The sequence below is a fragment of the Homo sapiens genome, chromosome 10 (genome assembly GCF_000001405.40).
Source record: "Homo sapiens chromosome 10, GRCh38.p14 Primary Assembly".
Lineage (NCBI taxonomy): Eukaryota > Metazoa > Chordata > Mammalia > Primates > Hominidae > Homo > Homo sapiens.
The window spans coordinates 104716588-104736560 of record NC_000010.11 but is presented as its reverse complement, the minus strand read 5'-3'; the positions used below and the strand labels follow the sequence as shown (position 1 = coordinate 104736560).

General features: G+C 42.5%; 1 protein-coding gene across 1 annotated transcript in view, besides 1 other annotated feature; it reads right to left on the bottom strand.

Annotated features, from left to right (window-relative positions):
* Nucleotides 1-19973, bottom strand: part of SORCS3 (sortilin related VPS10 domain containing receptor 3) — a 623953-nt gene that overhangs the window by 528682 nt on the left and 75298 nt on the right. The window lies entirely within an intron of this gene.
* Nucleotides 602-1559: an enhancer, noted in NCBI's record as "NANOG hESC enhancer chr10:106494760-106495717 (GRCh37/hg19 assembly coordinates)". NCBI's record gives its function as "activates a minimal SCP1, AML or CMV promoter by ChIP-STARR-seq in naive H9 embryonic stem cells {active_cell/tissue: H9 hESC(naive)}" and the evidence as "EXISTENCE:reporter gene assay evidence [ECO:0000049][PMID:30033119]".

Below are 19973 nucleotides of genomic sequence, written 5' to 3'. Positions count from 1 at the left end.
TATCCAAAACCATGACGGTTAAATTCATTGATGTCAATTTAAAATATACTTCTAAATCTTGACAGAATGAAGTGTCACTTACAGTCAAAAACCCAGCCCTCATGTGCAACAAAACACATGTGTCCGTGTACCATGTGGAATGTGTTCTTTCCACTTGAGTGTTAATTTCTCTCAGGAAGACAGTGGAACAGTAAGGAGAAAACTTTGCCTTCCACCTAAATAAGAAATCTCCGTTTATAACAAGCTCAGTCCTGCCCCCCTCAACCCGCCCCGCCGTGGCCTCCTGAGTGCCATCTAATCAGTTTACAAGAGGGTCTCACGGAGGGCAAACAACTGGCCAAGTTCAGGAATGACACTCAAGCCTGCAGCCCAGGAACTCAAGTGCTCAAGAATTAGGATGACAAATTTAGTCCAGTCGCAGGAGGACAATTAAGAAGGCTGGCTGGTTTGTTTCATAACTGGATTCCTGGGCAGCCCTTGTATGACAGCTGTTTAACACCAGCCCAAGGGGGATGAGCCGAGATGAAAGAGAAAATGAGTTCAACTGAGCCTCATTCTGCTACTAAAAAGAAGAAGAAAAAGAAAAGAGGGAGAGATTCAGACATTTGGCGTCACCTTGGGCTACTACTGTATTGTGTTTGGAGGGCTGCATTTCTTTTCTTGGGGGATGAGGTGGTCAGATTAGAGGGAAAGAGGTTATATTTTGAAAGAAAAGCAGACTGTTGTTAGTGAGCAAATCAGAACCGGTTCCAAGAAACCTAAGTCCTGGCTGGAGCCCATGCTACAGGTCATAACCGTATCCCAAACAAAAATCCTTATCGGAATGCTCATCCCCAAAGCCGACTTCAATTGCTGCCTTTTCATCTCAGCAGCCACCAACAGGCCAGGGGCTCAGCAGCCGCTTTCATTAATTTCCGCTATCACTGCTGATCTTGAAGCTTTCGCCAGGAAGGGAGCCAAGGGCTCTGTCTTTTTCATAGGTAATTTACAATTATGAGGGCCAGTTTCCTTGAACCCTATGGTGGGGCAGAGGGGATTGGGGAGCAAGCTTCTTTCTCTCCTAAAGAAACAAAGGGATTGATTAAAAAAAAAAAAAAAAAAAAACAGACGGTGAGAGCTCATGAATACCGCAGCTCTGGCTCCAGCCCGAAATAAACATGAAAAATAATGAAAGTCCTGAAAGTGAACAGCTGAGGACGCATCTCCGGCTGCATTTGGGGGCAGCTCTCAAAAGCCACCTGGAGTTTCCTGAATCCCAAGTAATAACTTTCAAACTATTTTCTAAGCCAATTTTTTGAGAGCCCTGAATGGCTGGCATAAGTGCCAAGAACAATGCAGCAGCACAGCTTCCCTGGGAGCAGCCCGGCCCCCTGCCCAGCCGACAGTCACCAGGCAGGAGAGCCACGTGAAAGGCAAGCGGCAGGGAACAGCCCCCTCTGGGAGCCCTTCTCTTTCTTGATGTGCTTTACTGACTCTTGAATTTACACTCTACCCATTCTGTTCTGGGGAAATAATTTCTAAACCAAATACATTAAAGGGTAGATTTTTTTTAATTAACTGCAATAAAAAATGGTTTTTTAAAAAAAGAGATACCTAACTTGTTAGATGTATTAGTAATAAGTTAATAACAGGCCCTGCACATACTTCATCTCATTTAATACTCCCATCACATGTAGGAGGTCAGTGTTAATTTTATCTCTGGTGATCAGAGAGATTAAATCTTTCAGTCAAGATCACAAAGCTATAAAGTTCCTTAGCTAGGATCAAACCCAGGTCTGGCTAGCTCCACCCAAAGCCTGCAGATGTATTTTCATTGCAAAACATGGTCTCTCCCGTTAAAAGAGAACACTATCAGTGCAAGCTATGGAGAGGGATTTCAGGGCTAAGCCCTTCTGTCCAAGTGTGGATCCCTCATGACTCATTCTCACTATGATGATTGATAAAGCCATCATGCCTGCACAAGACTAGGACCCACAGCCTGAGTAACAATAGCATGCAAAGTCCTGTGCACCAGCACAGTGTCGTCTGTGCTCTTGGTACTTGGTAATTAGTTCTCAGGGAGAAACAGATACTTGGTCTCTGAAGCTCTTTCAATCTTCTTAAGACAGGACTAAGGTCCTCTCTCAGCCAAATTACAAAAGCAGCAGTTTGCCTTTGGTGCCTGAGCTTTGCTGTTGCTTTCTCTGCCCTTTGCTCTCTTCTAGAGCTCCAGGCCCCCTTACTACTGTAATTTCTTCTAGAGCTAAAAGGAAAGACCACTGACTAATTCATACTAACATGTGCGGGACTACAGATATTCACCCTTACAATAAAGAATTGCATCTCTAATGGTAAAAATTAGAGCACACTGAGCTAGGTAATGGGATATATTTCTAGGGACGAGATCTTCCTAGCATCCCTAAAAACAAACCACAAAAGTAGACAAATTTTGTTTACATTTTAGATTAAGCCAACCCAACATACATCTACTCACACACACAGAGACACAAATAACTTAAAATAGTAATATCTCAACCACCTCAATCCAGTTATTGTCTGCTGAATGCCTCCTATTGCATGAGGGCAGATTGCTAAAACAAACAGGACATCAGGACCCTTATAAAGCTTATGATCTGTCCAGGCACCATCATGCATCTAAAGGCATCACTGGGAAACATCATAACCCCCATCTTTTCGTTCCGAGGGGATGCTGAAAAAAGAACAGCCTTATATAAATTGGCTTAGGTTTGCAGGTTTGCTCAACAAGAGGGCTCCTGGCCTTCTCCTCCACCACAAAACAGGGGATTGAGAAAAAAGAAAATGAAATCTTTGGGCTTCACAGCAAAGCACCAAACTTGGAGCTTCCCAGAGGAAAGCTGAGGGAAAAACACTCCAAAGCTGCTTTATTTAAACACATAAACTATAGGGATCACTTTGAAGGCAAGTCTCTGATCTCCGTATTTCTTAAACCTAACTCAGTGCTTGGCACCAAAAATAATGGCTCAAAGCGTTTGGTCAACATAGCGGGACCTTATTTCTACAAAAAAAAAAAAAAAAAAAATTAATCATCAGGGCATGGTGGTGCGCATCTATAGTCCCAACTACTTGGGATGCTGTGGCAGGAAGACCACTTCAACCTAGGAGTTCAAGGCTGCAGTGAGCTCTCATCTTGCCACTGTACTCTAGTCTGGGCAAGAGCAAGACCCTGTCTCTAAAAAATAAAAAAAAATTATCAAAGATTTGATGAAAGAGTGAATGCACAAATGAAGAAATCACAGAAATTAGTATGGACATCAGGTCTAGCTATTTGAGAACTAGCTTGGTGGCCTTGTGCAGGTCCCTTGACCCTCTCTGCACCTCTGCTAAGGGAGAGTAGTACATGCCTTCCCCACTTCTCAGGGCTCCTGGGGGCATCAGAGGAGCTCATGGGCCCCAGAGCATTTTCAGCAGCATAAAGCATTCTGTAAGTTCACGGGTTATTATTTTTTTGCTTATGCCCATGACAATCTACATCAGTTCTTGCATGGAAATCAAATCTATCACTGATTTATCAGCTTATGTACTGTAAGCTGATTGCCCCAACTCTGCCACTGGGCTCCCACCTCCACTGTTTGCTCAGCCCCTTGACCTTCAGATACCAGAGACCATGAATGGGGCCTGAAAGAGGCCCTCCTTCTCCCCTGAGGACTGAGCCTACATGGGTCCAGCTACCCCCACCCCTAGGCTGACCCTCATTCTACATACACCAGGCTATACCCAGCACACCTACACAAGCTCCCCAGCTAAATAGGCCATCTAGATGTTAAAGCACTGCTGTGGCAGACCCCTTTCCCATCCCTGCCTGTTAGCATGGTGATTTTTTTCAGCGAAGTGGAGAGATAGCTCTGCCCACAATATGCACATTTTAGCCCAAGATAAAAGCTTTTAAACAGCAGCAGCAGCATGCACGCGTGCAAGAGCAGAGGCTCATCCCATTTAAGGAGACTGACATGGGAGTTCATCTTTCTAGTAAATTTCATACTGCCCCCACCCCCTTGGGGGCACAGCAAAGGCACTGGCATTTGGCATTTTTAACTTCCTGAAGCAGAGCCTGGTTCTGAGTGTTCTTCTCTTGCCAGCATCTATTATAATCTTTAAAAGCAGTGTCGTCCTAGAGTGACCTGCCTTTCAAATGCAAGCACTACGGTTTAGGAACATCGTGTTCAAAGACAACAGAGAACACTGATGTAACAATGGCCCTGACCTCATGCTTCTGTTTCTCATTTTGTACACAAAATGTCTGCTATTAAGCCTCCAAGCTAGCACAATCCTGTTATATTATAAATGTGGCAGCCCCCTTGCCTAAGCCCTTTCTTGCTTACTTTGCACATGTTGGAGCTCTTATCCAATAAGCACTCAAGATGGACTTAACTGAGGGCCAATTAAACACCAAACCAGCAGCAGTAATATAAGATGATGTTCTGTCCTCCAGATATTTACACGAGAGCTAACGCATATTTCTGGAATGTTTGTTGTGATCAGTAAGGGTATTGTGTCCATAATCTCATTTATTCCTTCTAACCCTATAAAATATTCCCCAGTGTTAAAGAAACTGAGGTTTAGAGAATTTACCAAATGTTCCCAAGTTACTGGAAGGGCTGAGATTTGGAACCAGGCCTCTGACTTCTGAGCCCATAGCTGGAAGGTGGGATCAATGTCACCACCATGAAACAACCAGAGATGAATGAAGGGCTAAATGGTGCCAATTGATGTTCCTCCCTTCATTTGTCCTCACTCATGCTTTGAACAGTGTCTACTGAGCATCAGGCAAATTCTAGATACAGGGATGAGTGTTCCTGTCCTTAAGTTACTCACAGCTCGGTAAATCTACACAGGCTCAATAACCTGGGCAGCTCCATGGAGCAGGGTTGATTTGTAAACTGGAAAAGCATGTAAGTTCCAGATGTACAGAGGACATGGAGACACATCACAGTGGGCAAGGCAGTGTGATCCAAAGCCTAGAGTCTGGAAGGTAGACTAAAGGTGACAGGGAAACTGAGCCTCCCAAGAAAGTTGAAGGGGAATGTCAGAGTTGGGAAAGTCAGGGATTAGGTAGCCTCTTCTGGAAGTGTCCCCGGCAGTGACTTCTGGGATAGAGATGATTTAGAGTTAAATCACAAGCCCTGCTCTTTCTCCCAGAAGGAACATGACTCAGTAAATGAAGATGCAGATTAAGAAGACACATCAATTTGCATCTCTGCCTCGGGCTGGGATCTAAGAAAAACCTTCGAAAAGATAGCCATGATATCCCCAAAGATCATTTATTTTGCCCCATGCCAGAGAAGTAGCTGTCTGGAGCATATGTGAATGAATGGAGGGTGATGGTGTTTCTCAAAAGCTCCCTCCAGGGTCCTCACAAGAAGGTCATGTCAGCAGAAACTAGGCAAGGGAATGCGGGCTCAGCGGAGACACCAGACAACCAGACAGATTCTGGCTCTCTTTGGGAATGCATTCACTCATGCAGTTAAACCCTACTCAGTACCTGCCCTTCCAACCATGATAAATACACTCTGCATCCAATTCAACCTTGGCCCCCTGGCCCCAGACCATAGGGTGATCCACAGGGTAGAACAGAAAGCCTAAACTCAGCATTTGGCTCTGTGTCCCCACCCAAACCTCACCTTGAATTGTAATAATCTCCATGTGTCAAGGGCAGGACCAGGTGGAGATAATGGAATCATGGGGTTGGTTTCCCCCAAACTGTTCTGGCAATAGTGAGTGAGTTCTCAAGAGATCTGGTGGTTTTATAGGGGGATTCCCCCTTCGCTTGGCTCTCATTATCTCTCCTGCCTGCCCTGTGAAGAGGTGCCTTCTAACATGATTATAAGTTTCCTGAGGCCTCCCCAGCCATGTGGAACTGTGAGTCAATTAAACCTCTTTTCTGTATAAATTACTCAGTCTTGGGTATTTCTTCATAGCAGCGTGAGAAAAGACTAATATAGCAGTTGTTCACAAAAATGCCCTAAGGGCCCAGCTGAGGAAAACATGGAGAGAAAAGCGGGAGGTAGAAGCAGGGAATGAAAAGAGATGTCCTATCTGGTCAGTGGCTGGTATAGGACTTACACTGACAGCTCCTAGGAATCAACCCAGATGGAGCCCTCCATTCACCACAAACACCTCCTCTAACACTTGCCAATTTTCAATATTCTTCTAGAATGCAAGAGATGCAGCACAGTAGTACAGACGGGGAGGCAGAAGATCAGGTTCTGGTCCCAGCTGTGTCCCTGATTAGCTGTGGCACATATTCCTTGAGCCTCAGTTTCCTAATCTGTAAAATGCCGATACAAACAGTATATACTTCATTGGACTATTCAGAAAGGTAAATGAGAGAATCATATAAATTGTTCAGAATAATGTCTGGCAGAGTATATGCATACATCTCACATGCTCTGACGTCCACTCTTCTCCAGACTGCAAACCTTCAATTAACATGAATTTTGACTCTTAGAATCTTGTTCATTCCCAATAGCAGGGACAACCAAAAGAAATTCAAGATTTGCTGAGTACCAAGTCTGAGCAAGGTGATTTTCTAAGCAATGCTCATAAATTACATAATTCTCAGAAAACTTGATAAGGTCAAGTTCTCTTGGCCCATTTTACTGATAAGAAAACTGAGGCTCAGAGAGATTAAGTACACTCACTCCCCAAGCTACACATAGTCTGTTGGCAGATTTGGAAGTTGTCATGTGCTTTCCCCTACAGCACACTGTCTGCCTTTTGTTTTATCTCCAAGTTCTGGGCCCAAAACGAGTCACCTCCTGACAGGCGTGGTAGAAGCAGTGCCAGGGCAGGACTCTCCATCATGACAGGTTCTGTAGTTCCACTCATGCAGCCTGATACATACAGCACTTGACACCTAATACCTTCTGAAATATGGATACGCCAAACCTCCCTATCACACATTTGTGCAGTTGTTTTACTTTTTTAATGCAAGGATAAAACCTAGCTTATGACCCTATTAACCATCATTTTGATAAATTAAGTTCATTTCTTCAAGCCTGAACTTATCATTTTGGATCTGAAGTCTTTCATCCAACATATCCATTGTGTCTCCCATCTTCATGTCACCTACATATTTCTTTCTTTGTCATTGATTAAAGGAAATGTTAACAATGCAGGATCAAGAATAGAACTTTATAACTCTGGAAACCTGTATCTGGCTTAAGATTGCTTCATTAAAAATGTACTCTGGGCATATCATTCCATGAATAACTGATCCAGCCCAAAGGTCTCAGTCTTGAGCCTGGGGTAATCTAGAGAGACTTTTCAAATGTCTTGCTGAAAGTAGGATATACACGTGTACCATAAAACAGAAAATGAGGTTAGCTGAACAACATGTGCTTCTTGTTTATCCCATGATGATTCCTAGTGACTACTATTTGCTTTTCCAAAGTTACACATACCATTTTTTAAATAATCTATTATAGAATCTTTTGCCTAGGATTTTAAACTAACTCATGAATCTGAGTTCATAAAACTATTTTGAAAATAGGAATAATTGCTTGTCTCCAGTCTTTCAGAACATTCCCACTCTGCAATGATTTCCTGAAATATTACTAGCAATATTATATTACATTATAGTGTGACATCTGGCCTGGGATGTAATTGTTGAGATTAAGAGACTTAAGGCAGATGGAGTCCTCTTATAACTGGGTCACCAGAACTGGTCATTTGTATTCATTATTCCTAATCTACCCCAGGTTTGTGACTTATAGGACTAGTCTCTCAGTGAGCCTGGACTTCCACCATCATTTGCTGAGCTCAGAAAATCTAGAGCTAGAAAAGATCAGCCAGATACTAGGATTTTTCCAGGGGTTATATACAGATGCTCTTTGGGTCTGCAGGCCCTAGGAGAGCCCCATCACAGAAATTATCCTTTGATTTCTGATAGGTCAAGTGTAAACGGCCTTGAGCCTGAGGCAGGATTCATCCCAGCTTCAAGGTCCTCATATTTAGTGCAGTATATCCCCAGGTCTTTGTCCTGACATCACCTAATCGTTCTACTCTCACTGTCCTAACCTGGTTTCCAACCATTTTCTTGGCTTCAATCAACTTCCTATTATCATCCCTGACACACACAAACTCCCAGAATCCAGATCAACCATAAACCAAGTTAATTCTCAGTCTTGCCTAGGTTTTCTCAGCCCTGCAGTAGAACTAAGTCTCCTCAAACCTCCACTGCCCAAATCTTAGAACAGCACTAGAATTGCAAGATCACAGGTTAAGCTGACCTGCAAACTACAAGCAGCACCCTGAATCTTAAAAATCACTCAGAAGCCTTTAATCTTAGAAGCAGAAATTCTACTTCTAAGCATTTATCTTAAGGAAATAATGAGGGATGGAACAAAGAGCCATAAGAGCAAAATTTCTGAAACAAACTTAAATGTTCAACAATGGTGGATTGGTTAAAAAAGAAAAAAAAACCTGATGGTATGGACACAAATGGAACAAAAGAGATGACAGATAGATTAGATAGATAGATAGATAGATAGATAGATAGATAGATAGATAGATAGATAGAACTGTTATATATATAAAGCAGTGGTCCCCAACCTTTTTGGCACCAGGGACCGGTTTTGTGGAAGACAATTTTTCCATCGATGGGAAGGTGGGGTGGGGGATGGTTTCAGGATGAAACTATTCCATCTCAGATCATTAAGCATTAGATTCTCATAAGAAGGATGCAACCTAGATCCCTTGCCTGCACAGTTCACAGTAAGGTTCATGCTCCTATAATAATCTAATGCCACTGCTGATCTGAGTGAAGGCAGAGCTTAGGCAGTAATGCTCTCTTGCACACCGCTCACCTACCTCCTGCTACCTGGCCCAGTTCCTAACAGGCCACGGACTGATACTGGTCTACAGCCCAGGGGTTGGGGACCCCTAAAAAGGAGATGCACACACACACGTATATTCTTAGAAGGGATATATGTATATATATAAGTATATGAATATATAGGTAAGCGTGTATGCATCTTATATATATATATATATATACACACACACATATATCCCTTCTAAGAATATACAAAACTATATGTACTATAAGATCCAAGTTTTTTTTAAAGACATGGAAATATGCAGATGATGACTGGACAAACAGAAGGATAGGAAGGAGGGAAGACGTTGGAGGGATGCACACAAAGATATTAATAGTAGTTATGTATTTCTGGATAGTGGGTTTACAAGAGATATATGTATGCTTTTCTATTTTTCCCAAACTTTCCACAAAAGTACAATGAATATATATTCTTTTGCAATCAACAAAACAATAAAAATCCATCAACATAGTTACAATACATTCTCTCATTACAACTACGTAATTTATTCAATGGTAATTTATTCACCATTCCTTCATGCAGCAAATAATATCTCAACATCTACCACATGAAAGTCCTGTGCTAGGTGCTTGAAAGAATCCACAGAATATGACATGATCCTCATCCTCAAATTAATTACAGTTCAGATTGGGAGACAATGAGTGAACACAAATACTTATGGCAAAAGGCAATGCCTGCACCATATGGATGGACAGACAATCAGAGCTAAACCACAGAGGCCCAACAGGGAATTCAGCAGTACCCTAAAAACAGGCAAATGTCAATAACTAGAGATGGTATTGGAGCAGGGAACATACCAGATTGAACACTGGAAGTCTTGCATCCCAAGTAGCCCTAGTCCCAGGTCAACTGGGACTGCTGGTCCTATTCTGGGGGAGAAGCTCTGGAAAAAAAGGGCAGAGGAATGGAGATGGGGCAGGCAAGGCTCATTCAGTGGGAATAGGGCAGTTTTTTACCCACAGGATGTATAAATAGGAACCAGATTGCAGATGCCTCTGAAGTCCCAGTGACAACAGAGAGCTATTGAAGATTTCTGAGGAGGAGCAACTTTGGAACAGCAATTGAGCAAACTAGATGGGGAGAAAAGGAATAAAGAGGTGTCCAACGGAGAGCCCCCTGGGGGTCGTCATATGGTGGGATGGCACAAATGCCTTCCACATGGAACATGCATGAGACATGAGAAGCTTGGGTTGGTCCTGGGGTTTAGGTCAGACTTCCCCACTCTCATGGCACACGCAGGCCTTACCCAACCCTCATCACCCACCACGTTGGCCTACAGCATTAATCCAGGTAAATTAGCACGAGTTTAGTTCCAAGCAAAAACTGATTGCTTAATAAAGTGTAAAACCATTTACAAACAAGTGCCCTCATAGGAAGAAAGGCCAAGTACGAACACTCAGGACAAGACAAGACCAGATGTTCCTCTAAGGCTCCCAGAGGGGAAGGTGTCCATTCTCCTGGGTACAGGTTAGTAACACAATGCCGTGAGCTCTTGGAATTCAGAGCCACTGAACACTTGGATAAGGGGAATTTGCCTCTGATGACAGACTTGTTTACTTTAAAGACCTATGAGCAGACTGGGGTGGATCAAAGATGGCCGAAAAGGAACAGCTCCAGTCTACAGCACCCAGCGTGAGCGATGCAGAAGACAGGTGATTTCTGCATTTCCAACTGAGGTACCGGGTTCATCTCATTGGGGAGTGTCGGACAGTGGGTACAGGACAGTGGGTGCAGCGCACTGAGCATAAGCCGAAGCAGGGCGAGGCATCGCCTCACCCGGGAAGCGCAAGGGGTCAGGGAATTCCCTTTCCTACTCAAAGAAACGGGTGACAGACAGCACCTGGAAAACCGGGTCACTCCCACCCTAATACTGCGCTTTTCCAAAGGTCTTAGCAAACGACACACCAGGAGATTATATCCCGCGCATGGCTCAGCGGGTCCTATGCCCACGGAGCCTCGCTCATTGCTAGCACAGCAGTCTGAGATCAAACTGCAAGGTGGCAGTGAGGCTGGGGGAGGGTCACCCGCCATTGCCGAGGCTTGAGTAGGTAAACAAAGCAGCCAGGGAGCTCGAACTGGGTGGAGCCCACCTCAGCTCAAGGAGGCCTGCCTGCCTCTATAGACTCCACCTCTAGGGGCAGGGCATAGCCAAAAAAAAGGCAGCAGAAACCTCTGCAGACTTAAATGTCCCTGTCTGACAGCTTTGAAGAGAGTAGTGGTACTCCCAGCATGCAGCTGGAGATCTGAGAACGGACAGACTGCCTCCTCAAGTGGGTCCCTGATTCCCGAGTAGCCTAACTGGGAGGCAACCCCCAGTAGGGGCAGACTGACACCTCACATGCCCGGGTACTCCTCTGAGACAAAACTTCCACAGGAATGATCAGGCAGCAACATTTGCTATTCACCAATATCCACTGTTCTGCAGCCTCCGCTGCTGATACCCAGGCAAACAGGGTCTGGAGTGGACCTCCAGCAAACTCCAACAGACCTGCATCTGAGGGTCCTGACTGTTAGAAGGAAAACTAACAAAGAGAAAGGACAACCACAACAAAACCCCATCTGTACATCACCATCATCAAACACCAAAGGTAGATAAAACCACAAAGATGGGGAAAAAACAGAGCAGAAAAACTGGAAACTCTAAAAACCAGAGCACCTCTCCTCCTCCAAAGGAATGCAGCTCCTCACCAGCAACAGAACAAAGCTGGATGGAGAATGACTTTGACGAGTTGAGAGAAGAAGGCTTCAGATTATCAAACTACTCCGAGCTAAAGGAGGAAGTTCGAACTCATGGCAAAGAAGTTAAATACCTTGAAAAAAAATTAGACGAATGGCTAACTAGAATAACCAACGCAGAGAAGTCCTTAAAGGACCTGATGGAGCTGAAAACCACAGCACGAGAACTACATGATGAATGCACAAGCCTCAGTAGCCAATTCAACCAACTGGAAGAAAGGGTATCAGTGATGGAAGATCAAATGAATGAAATGAAGCAAGAAGAGAAGTTTAGAGAAAAAAGAATAAAAAGAAATGAACAAAGCCTCCAAGAAATATGGGACTATGTGAAAAGACCAAATCTACGTCTGATTGGTGTACCTGAAAGTGATGGGGAGAATGCAACCAAGTTGGAAAACACTCTGCAGGATATTATCCAGGAGAACTTCCCCAATCTAGTAAGGCAGGCCAACATTCAGATTCAGGAAATACAGAGAACGCCACAAAGATACTCCTCGAGAAGAGCAACTCCAAGACACATAATTGTCAGATTCACCAAAGTTGAAATGAAGGAAAAAGTGTTAAGGGCAGCCAGAGAGAAAGGTCGGGTTACCCACAAAGGAAAGCCCATCAGACTAACAGCTGATCTCTCGGCAGAAACTCTACAAGTCAGAAGAGAGTGGGGGCCAATATTCAACATTCTTAAAGAAAAGAATTTTCAACCCGGAATTTCATATCCAGCCAAACTAAGCTTCATAAGTGAAGGAGAAATAAAATCCTTTACAGACAAGCAAATGCTGAGAGATTTTGTCACCACCAGGACTGCCCTAAAAGAGCTCCTGAAGGAAGCACTAAACATGGAAAGGAACAACCGGTACCAGCCACTGCAAAAACATGCCAAATTGTAAAGACCATTGAGGCTAGGAAGAAACTGCATCAACTAATGAGCAAAATCACCAGCTAACGTCATAATGACAGGATCAAATTCACACATCACAATATTAACTTTAAATGAAAATGGGCTAAATGCTCCAATTAAAAGACACAGACTGGCAAACTGGATAAAGAGTCAAGACCCATCAGTGTGCTGTATTCAGGAAACCCATCTCACGTGCAGAGACACACATAGGCTCAAAATAAAGGGATGGAGGAAGATCTACCAAGCAAATGGAAAACAAAAAAAGGCAGGGGTTGCAATCCTAGTCTCTGATAAAACAGACTTCAAAACAACAAAGATCAAAAGAGACAAAGGTCATTACACAATGGAAAGGGATCAATTCAACAAGAAGAGCTAACTATCCTAAATATATATGCACCCAATACAGGAGCACCCAGATTCATAAAGCAAGTCCTTAGAGACCTACAAAGAGACTTAGATTCCCACACAATAATAATGGGAGACTTTAACACCCCACTGTCAACATTAGACAGATCAACGAGACAGAAAGTTAACAAGGATATCCAGGAATTGAACTCAGCTCTGCATCAAGCAGACCTAATAGACATCTACAGCACTCTCCACCCCAAATCAAAAGAATATAAATTCTTTTCAGCACCACACCACACCTATTCCAAAATTGACCACATAGTGGGAAGTAAAACACTCCTCAGCAAATGTAAAAGAACAGAAATTATAACAAACTGTCTCTCAGACCACAGTGCAATCAAACTGGAACTCAGGATTAAGAAACTCTCTCAAAACTGCTCAACTACATGGAAACTGAACAACCTGCTCCTGAATGACTACTGGGTACATAATGAAATGAAGGCAGAAATAAAGATGTTCTTTGAAATCAACCAGAACAAAGACACAACATACCAGAATCTCTGGGACACATTCAAAGCAGTGTGTAGAGGGAAATTTATAGCACTGAATGCCCACAAGAGAAAGCAGGAAAGATCTAAAGTTGACACCCTAACATCACCATTAAAAGAACTAGAGAAGCAAGAGCAATCACATTCAAAAGCTAGCAGAAGGCAAGAAATAACTAAGATCAGAGCAGAACTGAAGGAAATAGAGACACAAAAAACCCTTCAAAAAATTAATGAATACAGGAGCTGGTTTTTTGAAAAAATCAACAAAATTGATAGACCGCTAGCAAGACTAATAAAGAAGAAAAGAGAGAAGAATCAAATAGACGCAATAAAAAATGATAAAGGGGATATCACCACCGATCCCACAGAAATACAAACTACCATCAGAGAATACTATAAACACCTCTATGCAAATAAACCAGAAAATCTAGAAGAAATGGATACATTCCTCGACACATACACCCTCCCAAGACTAAACCAGGAAGAAGCTGAATCTCTGAATAGACCAATAACAGGCTCTGAAATTGAGACAATAATTAATAGCTTACCAACCAAAAAAAGTCCAGGACCAGTTGGATTCACAGCCAAATTCTACCAGAGGTACAAGGAGGGGCTGGTACCATTCCTTCTGAAACTTTTCCAATCAATAGAAAAAGAGGGAATCCTCCCTAACTCATTTTATGAGGCCAGCATCATCCCGATACCAAAGCCAGGGTGAGACACAACAAAAAAAGAGAATTTTAGACCAATATCCCTGATGAACATCGATGCAAAAATCCTCAATAAAATATTGGCAAACTGAATCCAGCAGCACATCAAAAAGCTTATCCACCATGATCAAGTGGGCTTCATCCCTGGGATGCAAGGCTGGTTCAACATATGCAAATCAATAAACATAATCCAGCATATAAACAGAACCAAGGACAAAAACCAAATGATTATCTCAATAGATGCAGAAAAGGCCTTTGACAAAATTCAACAACCCTTCATGCTAAAAACTCTCAATAAATTAGGTATTGATGGGATGAATCTCCAAATAATAAGAGCTATCTATGACAAACCCACAGCCAATATCATACTGAATGGGCAAAAACTGGAAGCATTCCCTTTGAAAACTGGCACAAGACAGGGATGCCCCCTCTCATCACTCCTATTCAACATAGTGTTGGAAGTTCTGGCCAGGGCAATCAGGCAGGAGAAGGAAATAAAGGGTATTCAATTAGGAAAAGAGGAAGTCAAATTGTTCCTGTTTGCAGATGACATGACTGTATGTCTAGAAAACCCCATCATCTCAGCCCAAAATCTCCTTAAGCTGATAGGCAACTTAAGTGAAGTCTCAGGATACAAAATCAATGTGCAAAAATCACAAGCATTCTTATACACCAATAACAGACAAACAGAGAGCCAAATCATGAGTGAACTCCCATTCACAATTGCTTCAAAGAGGATAAAATACCTAGGAATCCAACTTATAAGGGACGTGAAGGACCTCTTCAAGGAGAACTACAAACCACTGCTCAATAAAATAAAAGAGAATACAAACAAATGGAAGAACATTCCATGCTCATGGGTAGGAAGAATCAATATCGTGAAAATGGCCATACTGCCCAAGGTAATTTATAGATTCAATGCCATCCCCATCAAGCTACCAATGACTTTCTTCACAGAATTGGAAAAAACTACTTTAAAGTTCATATGGAACCAAAAAAGAGCCCGCATTGCCAAGTCAATCCTAAGCCAAAAGAACAAAGCCGGTCGCATCAGGCTACCTGACTTCAAACTATACTACAAGGCTACAGTAACCAAAACAGCATGGTACTGGTACCAAAACAGAAATATAGATCAATGGAACAGAACAGAGCCCTCAGAAATAATGCTGCATATCTACAACTATCTGATCTTTGACAAACCTGACAAAAACAAGCAATGGGGAAAGGATTCCCTATTTAATAAATGGTGCTGGGAAAACTGGCTAGCCATATGTAGAAAGCTGAAACTGGATCCCTTCCTTACACCTTATACAAAAATTAATTCAAGATGGGTTAAAGACTTAAATGTTAGACCGAAAACCATCAAAACCCTAGAAGAAAACCTAGGTAATACCATTCAGGACATAGGCATGAGCAAGGACTTCATGTCTATAACACCAAAAGCCATGGCAACAAAAGCCAAAGTTGACAAATGGGATCTAATTAAACTCAAGAGCTTCTGTATAGCAAAAGAAACCACCATCAGAGTGAACAGGCAACCTACAGAGTGGGAGAAAATTTTTGCAATCTATACATCTGATAAAGGGCTAATATCCAGAATCTACAATGAACTCAAACAAATTTACAAGAAAAAAACAAACAACCCCATCAACAAGTGGGCAAAGGATATGAACAGACACTTCTCAAAAGAAGACATTTATGCAGCCAACAGACACATGGAAAAATGCTCATCATCACTGGCCATCAGAGAAATGCAAATCAAAACCACAATGAGATACCATCTCACACCAGTTAGAAGGGCGATCATTAAAAAGTCAGGAAACAACAGGTGCTGGAGAGGATGTGGAGAAATAGGAACACTTTTACACTGTTAGTGGGACTGTAAACTAGTTCGACCATTGTGGAAGTCAGTGAGGCAATTCCTCAGGGATCTAGAACTAGAAATACCATTTAACCCAGCCATCCCATTACTGGGTATATATCCAAAGGATTATAAACATGCTTCTATAAAGACACATGCACACTTATGTTTATTGTGGCACTATTCACAATAGCAAAGACTTGGAACCAACCCAAATGTCCAACAATGATAGACTGGATTAAGAAAATGTGGCACATATACACCATGGAATACTATGCAGCCATAAAAAATGATGAGGTCACATCCTTTGTAGGGACATGAATGAAGCTGGAAATCATCATTCTCAGCAAACTATTGCAAGGACAAAAAACCAAACACCGCATTTTCTCACTCATAGGTGGGAACTGAACAATGAGAACACATGGACACAGGAAGGGGAACATGACACACTGGGGCCTGTTGTGGGGTCGGGGGAAGGGGGAGGGATAGGATTAGGAGATATACCTATTGTTAAATGACGAGTTAACAGGTGCAGCACACCAACATGGCACATGTATACATATGTCACAAACCTGCACGTTGTGCACATGTACCCTAAAACTTAAAGTATAAAAAAAAAAAAACCTATGAGCAGAAAGCTCACCTGGCTTTCTAATTAGCTTTCTAACATGGACTTACACACAAAGTGGGGAAATCTTTCATCAGACAACTTTCAGATCCATATCCATTTGTTCCCCCTCACCCCAACACATACATTCACACACTTCCAATCTCGGCAAGAGCATAATTCTCATTCACATAATTCTCATGGTTTCCTGCTGGCAAAGAAATTACCGTCACATGAAGAGAGAGAGACAAACCAGCTGATTTCAATGATCTTAAAGTAATAAATACACCCTCACATACATGCATGGTGTTTTTCCAAGTGTCTTTTATATTCAGTGTTCCTTTAGCCTCAAAACAATCCTGGAGGCAGGTATAAATGATCCCACCATCCCCATTTAACGGAGAAGGAGAAGAGCAGAGAAGCGAAGCAATTTAGTCTAAGATCAGATAGAGATATGGAGTAATGTCTTTCCCTGGGCATCCACCATCCATTCTCCACAACCTTTCCATTCTTTCAGATGAATACAGAAGTCGAGGAATTCTTTCAGAGTCAAGGAATACGGAAGTAAAAAGACATAGCTCCATTCTCGAATTACTTATATTCAATCACATTGACAAACCTATACCCCTGCAACCATTAACCAAAGCCACATGCAGCACACACACGCTAGACACTGAAGCATGAAGGACAAGCAAAACCAGGGTATGCTTATAATGAGGAAGGAATAAAATAATCAGGATTTTAGAAAAGAAAAGAGGACCTTCTAGACCCGTGCTGTCCAATACGGCAGCCATTAGCTACATGTAATTACGGAGCACTTGGAAGGTGGCTAGTCAGAATTGAGATGGGCTTAGGTGTCAAATACAAGATTTCAAATACTTAGTATGAAAAATATATATAAAATTAATATTTTTATAGTAATTACACATTCAAATAAGATTTGGATATATTGAATAAATTAAAATATATCATTCAAATTAATTTCACTTGTTTCTTTTTCCTTTTTTAACTTGGCTATGAGAAAATTTACATTGCAGATGTGGCACATGTTATATTTCAATTGGACAGCACTGTCTTAGACAGTTCCCTTCTTTATTTTTATGAAATAAAACCAGAATTTTTCTTTTTTCCAACATTCTTAATAACTGTAGACAAATAGTCATTTCCATAATGGCATATTCCTAACATTTCTCCCACTTTCCTGGACTTCCTCCAGTTCCTCGGGCCTACTTTGTTCATCACATTGACCTCAGAACTGAGTTTCCTTCTGTTATGGTCTTTACTGAAATTCTCACACTCAACACACCTAATTCCTCAAAGCAGGGGCCCATTACTGCAATCTATTCCTCCTTGGATAGGCTCCAGATTTATTTCCTGCAGTAGATACCATAGGGAAGGGTCAGAGTGGGATCAGATTTCTCAGACTCTAATTGTACTTCAGAGGCACCCCCCTACACAAACCTTTCTTCTACAGTGCTGCAGTTTGAACGTGTCTCCCAAAGCACATGTGTTGGAAACTTAACCCCCAATGCAACAGTGTTGAGAGGTGGTTACCTTTAAGAGGTGATTATGTCATGAAGGTCAGAGCCCTCATGAATGGATGAATGTCATTATGGAGGGAACGGGTTCATCATTGTAAGGGTGAGTTTGTTATAAAGGCAAGTTTCGCCCTCTCTTGCTCTCTCATGCTATCCTGCCTTTCTACCTTCTGCCATGGGATGACACAGCAAAAAGGCCTACACCAGGTAGGGGCCCCTTGATCTTGAGCTTTTCAGCCTCCAAAACTTGAGCCAAATACACTTCTTTCTCTTATTTATTTATTTATTCATTTATTTATTTATTTATTTTGAGGACGGAGTCTCACTCTGTCGCTCAGGCTGGAATGCAGTGGTGCAATCTCAGCTCACCACAACCTCCGCCTCCCAGGTTCAAGCGATTCTCCTGCCGCAGTCTCCTGAGTAGCTGGGATTACAGGCACCTGCCACCATGCCTGGCTAATTTTATTTTTGTATTTTTAGTAGAGATGGGGTTTCACCATGTTGGACAGGTTAGTCTCCAACTCCTGACCTGAGATGATCCACCTGCCTCGGCCTCTCAAAGTGCTGGGATTACAGGCGTGAGCCACCATGCCTGGCCCAAATACACTTTTTTTTGCTTATTTATAAATTACTCAGTCTGTGGTATACTGTTATAGCAGCCCAAATGGACTAAGACTTATGATTAACATAATTCAGTATCCTGAGGCTTTTTAAATCTTAAATTTCATCAAACTGCCCAGCTCTGACCCTCTGTTTTCTGCTGTAATTGTTTTCCTTGGATGGTGTGACTATCTCACAAGCACAATATGCAGGTGGTGCCCTCAGAGGTCTCCTACTTGTCACTGCCCCAGGGTTTTCTATGTGATCATCAGGGAGAAGACACTCATAAACAAAGGTAGCAACTGAAAGGGAAAAAGAGAAGGACCCACAAAGAGCCCAGTGGAGAAGACCAGCTCACACAGACAGCAGGCAACAATGCTGGGCGCCTTGTGGGTGAGCTCTAGGTGTCCGGGACTGGAAAGGAAGAAATAATGCTCTGAGTAGGAAAAGGAACTGGAGAACAGAAGGAAACCTGAAGGAGGTCAAAACAGAACATCTCTTTCTTTTTGTTTTACTGCATGCTGACATTTTCTTTTTCCTTTTTTTTTTTTTTTTTACATTTTTTTTCTTAGAGATAGGGTCTCCCCTCTGTCACCCAGGCTGGAGTGCAGTGGTACAACCATAATTCACTGCAGCCTCAAACTCCTAGGCTCAAGTGATACTCCCATCTCAGCCTTCCAAGAAACTGGGATTACAAGTGTGAGCCACCATGCCTGACTAATTTGTTTTTCATAGGGAAGAGGCCTTGCTATGCCGCCTGGGCTGGTCCTGAAATCCTGGTCTCAAGATATTCTTCTGCCTTGGCCTTCCAAAGGCGGGAATTACAGGCATGAGCCACTGTGCCTGGCCCATGCTGCCATTTTCAAGGCTAGAATATACTTCTTTTTTGGTGGAGAAGACAATTAGAAAAATGACTTCTCCCTCAATGGTAGGGAAGCTCTTCAAGTGCTTTCTCTCTTCCAGTCAGAACTGCAGTGCCAGCTGACATCTAACTCACTAAGTGAAACCCTACAAATAGAGATGACAATGGTCCACCATGGAGGGAGATCTGTCTCCACTGACCTGAGACTCAACTTCAGGGAACTTGCAGGAGATAAAGAAACTCTCCCCCAACCCCAAAACATTCCGCAGACAACCAGATCTTAAAGGTCCTGGAGGAATTAAGATGATTTCTTGTCCCAAAAGAACTGCCTGCTGACTAAACGTGGGTCCTATTTGCTCTCCTTGGTCCTAATGATTTCTTTTAAGTTCAATTCTTATTCTCATTCA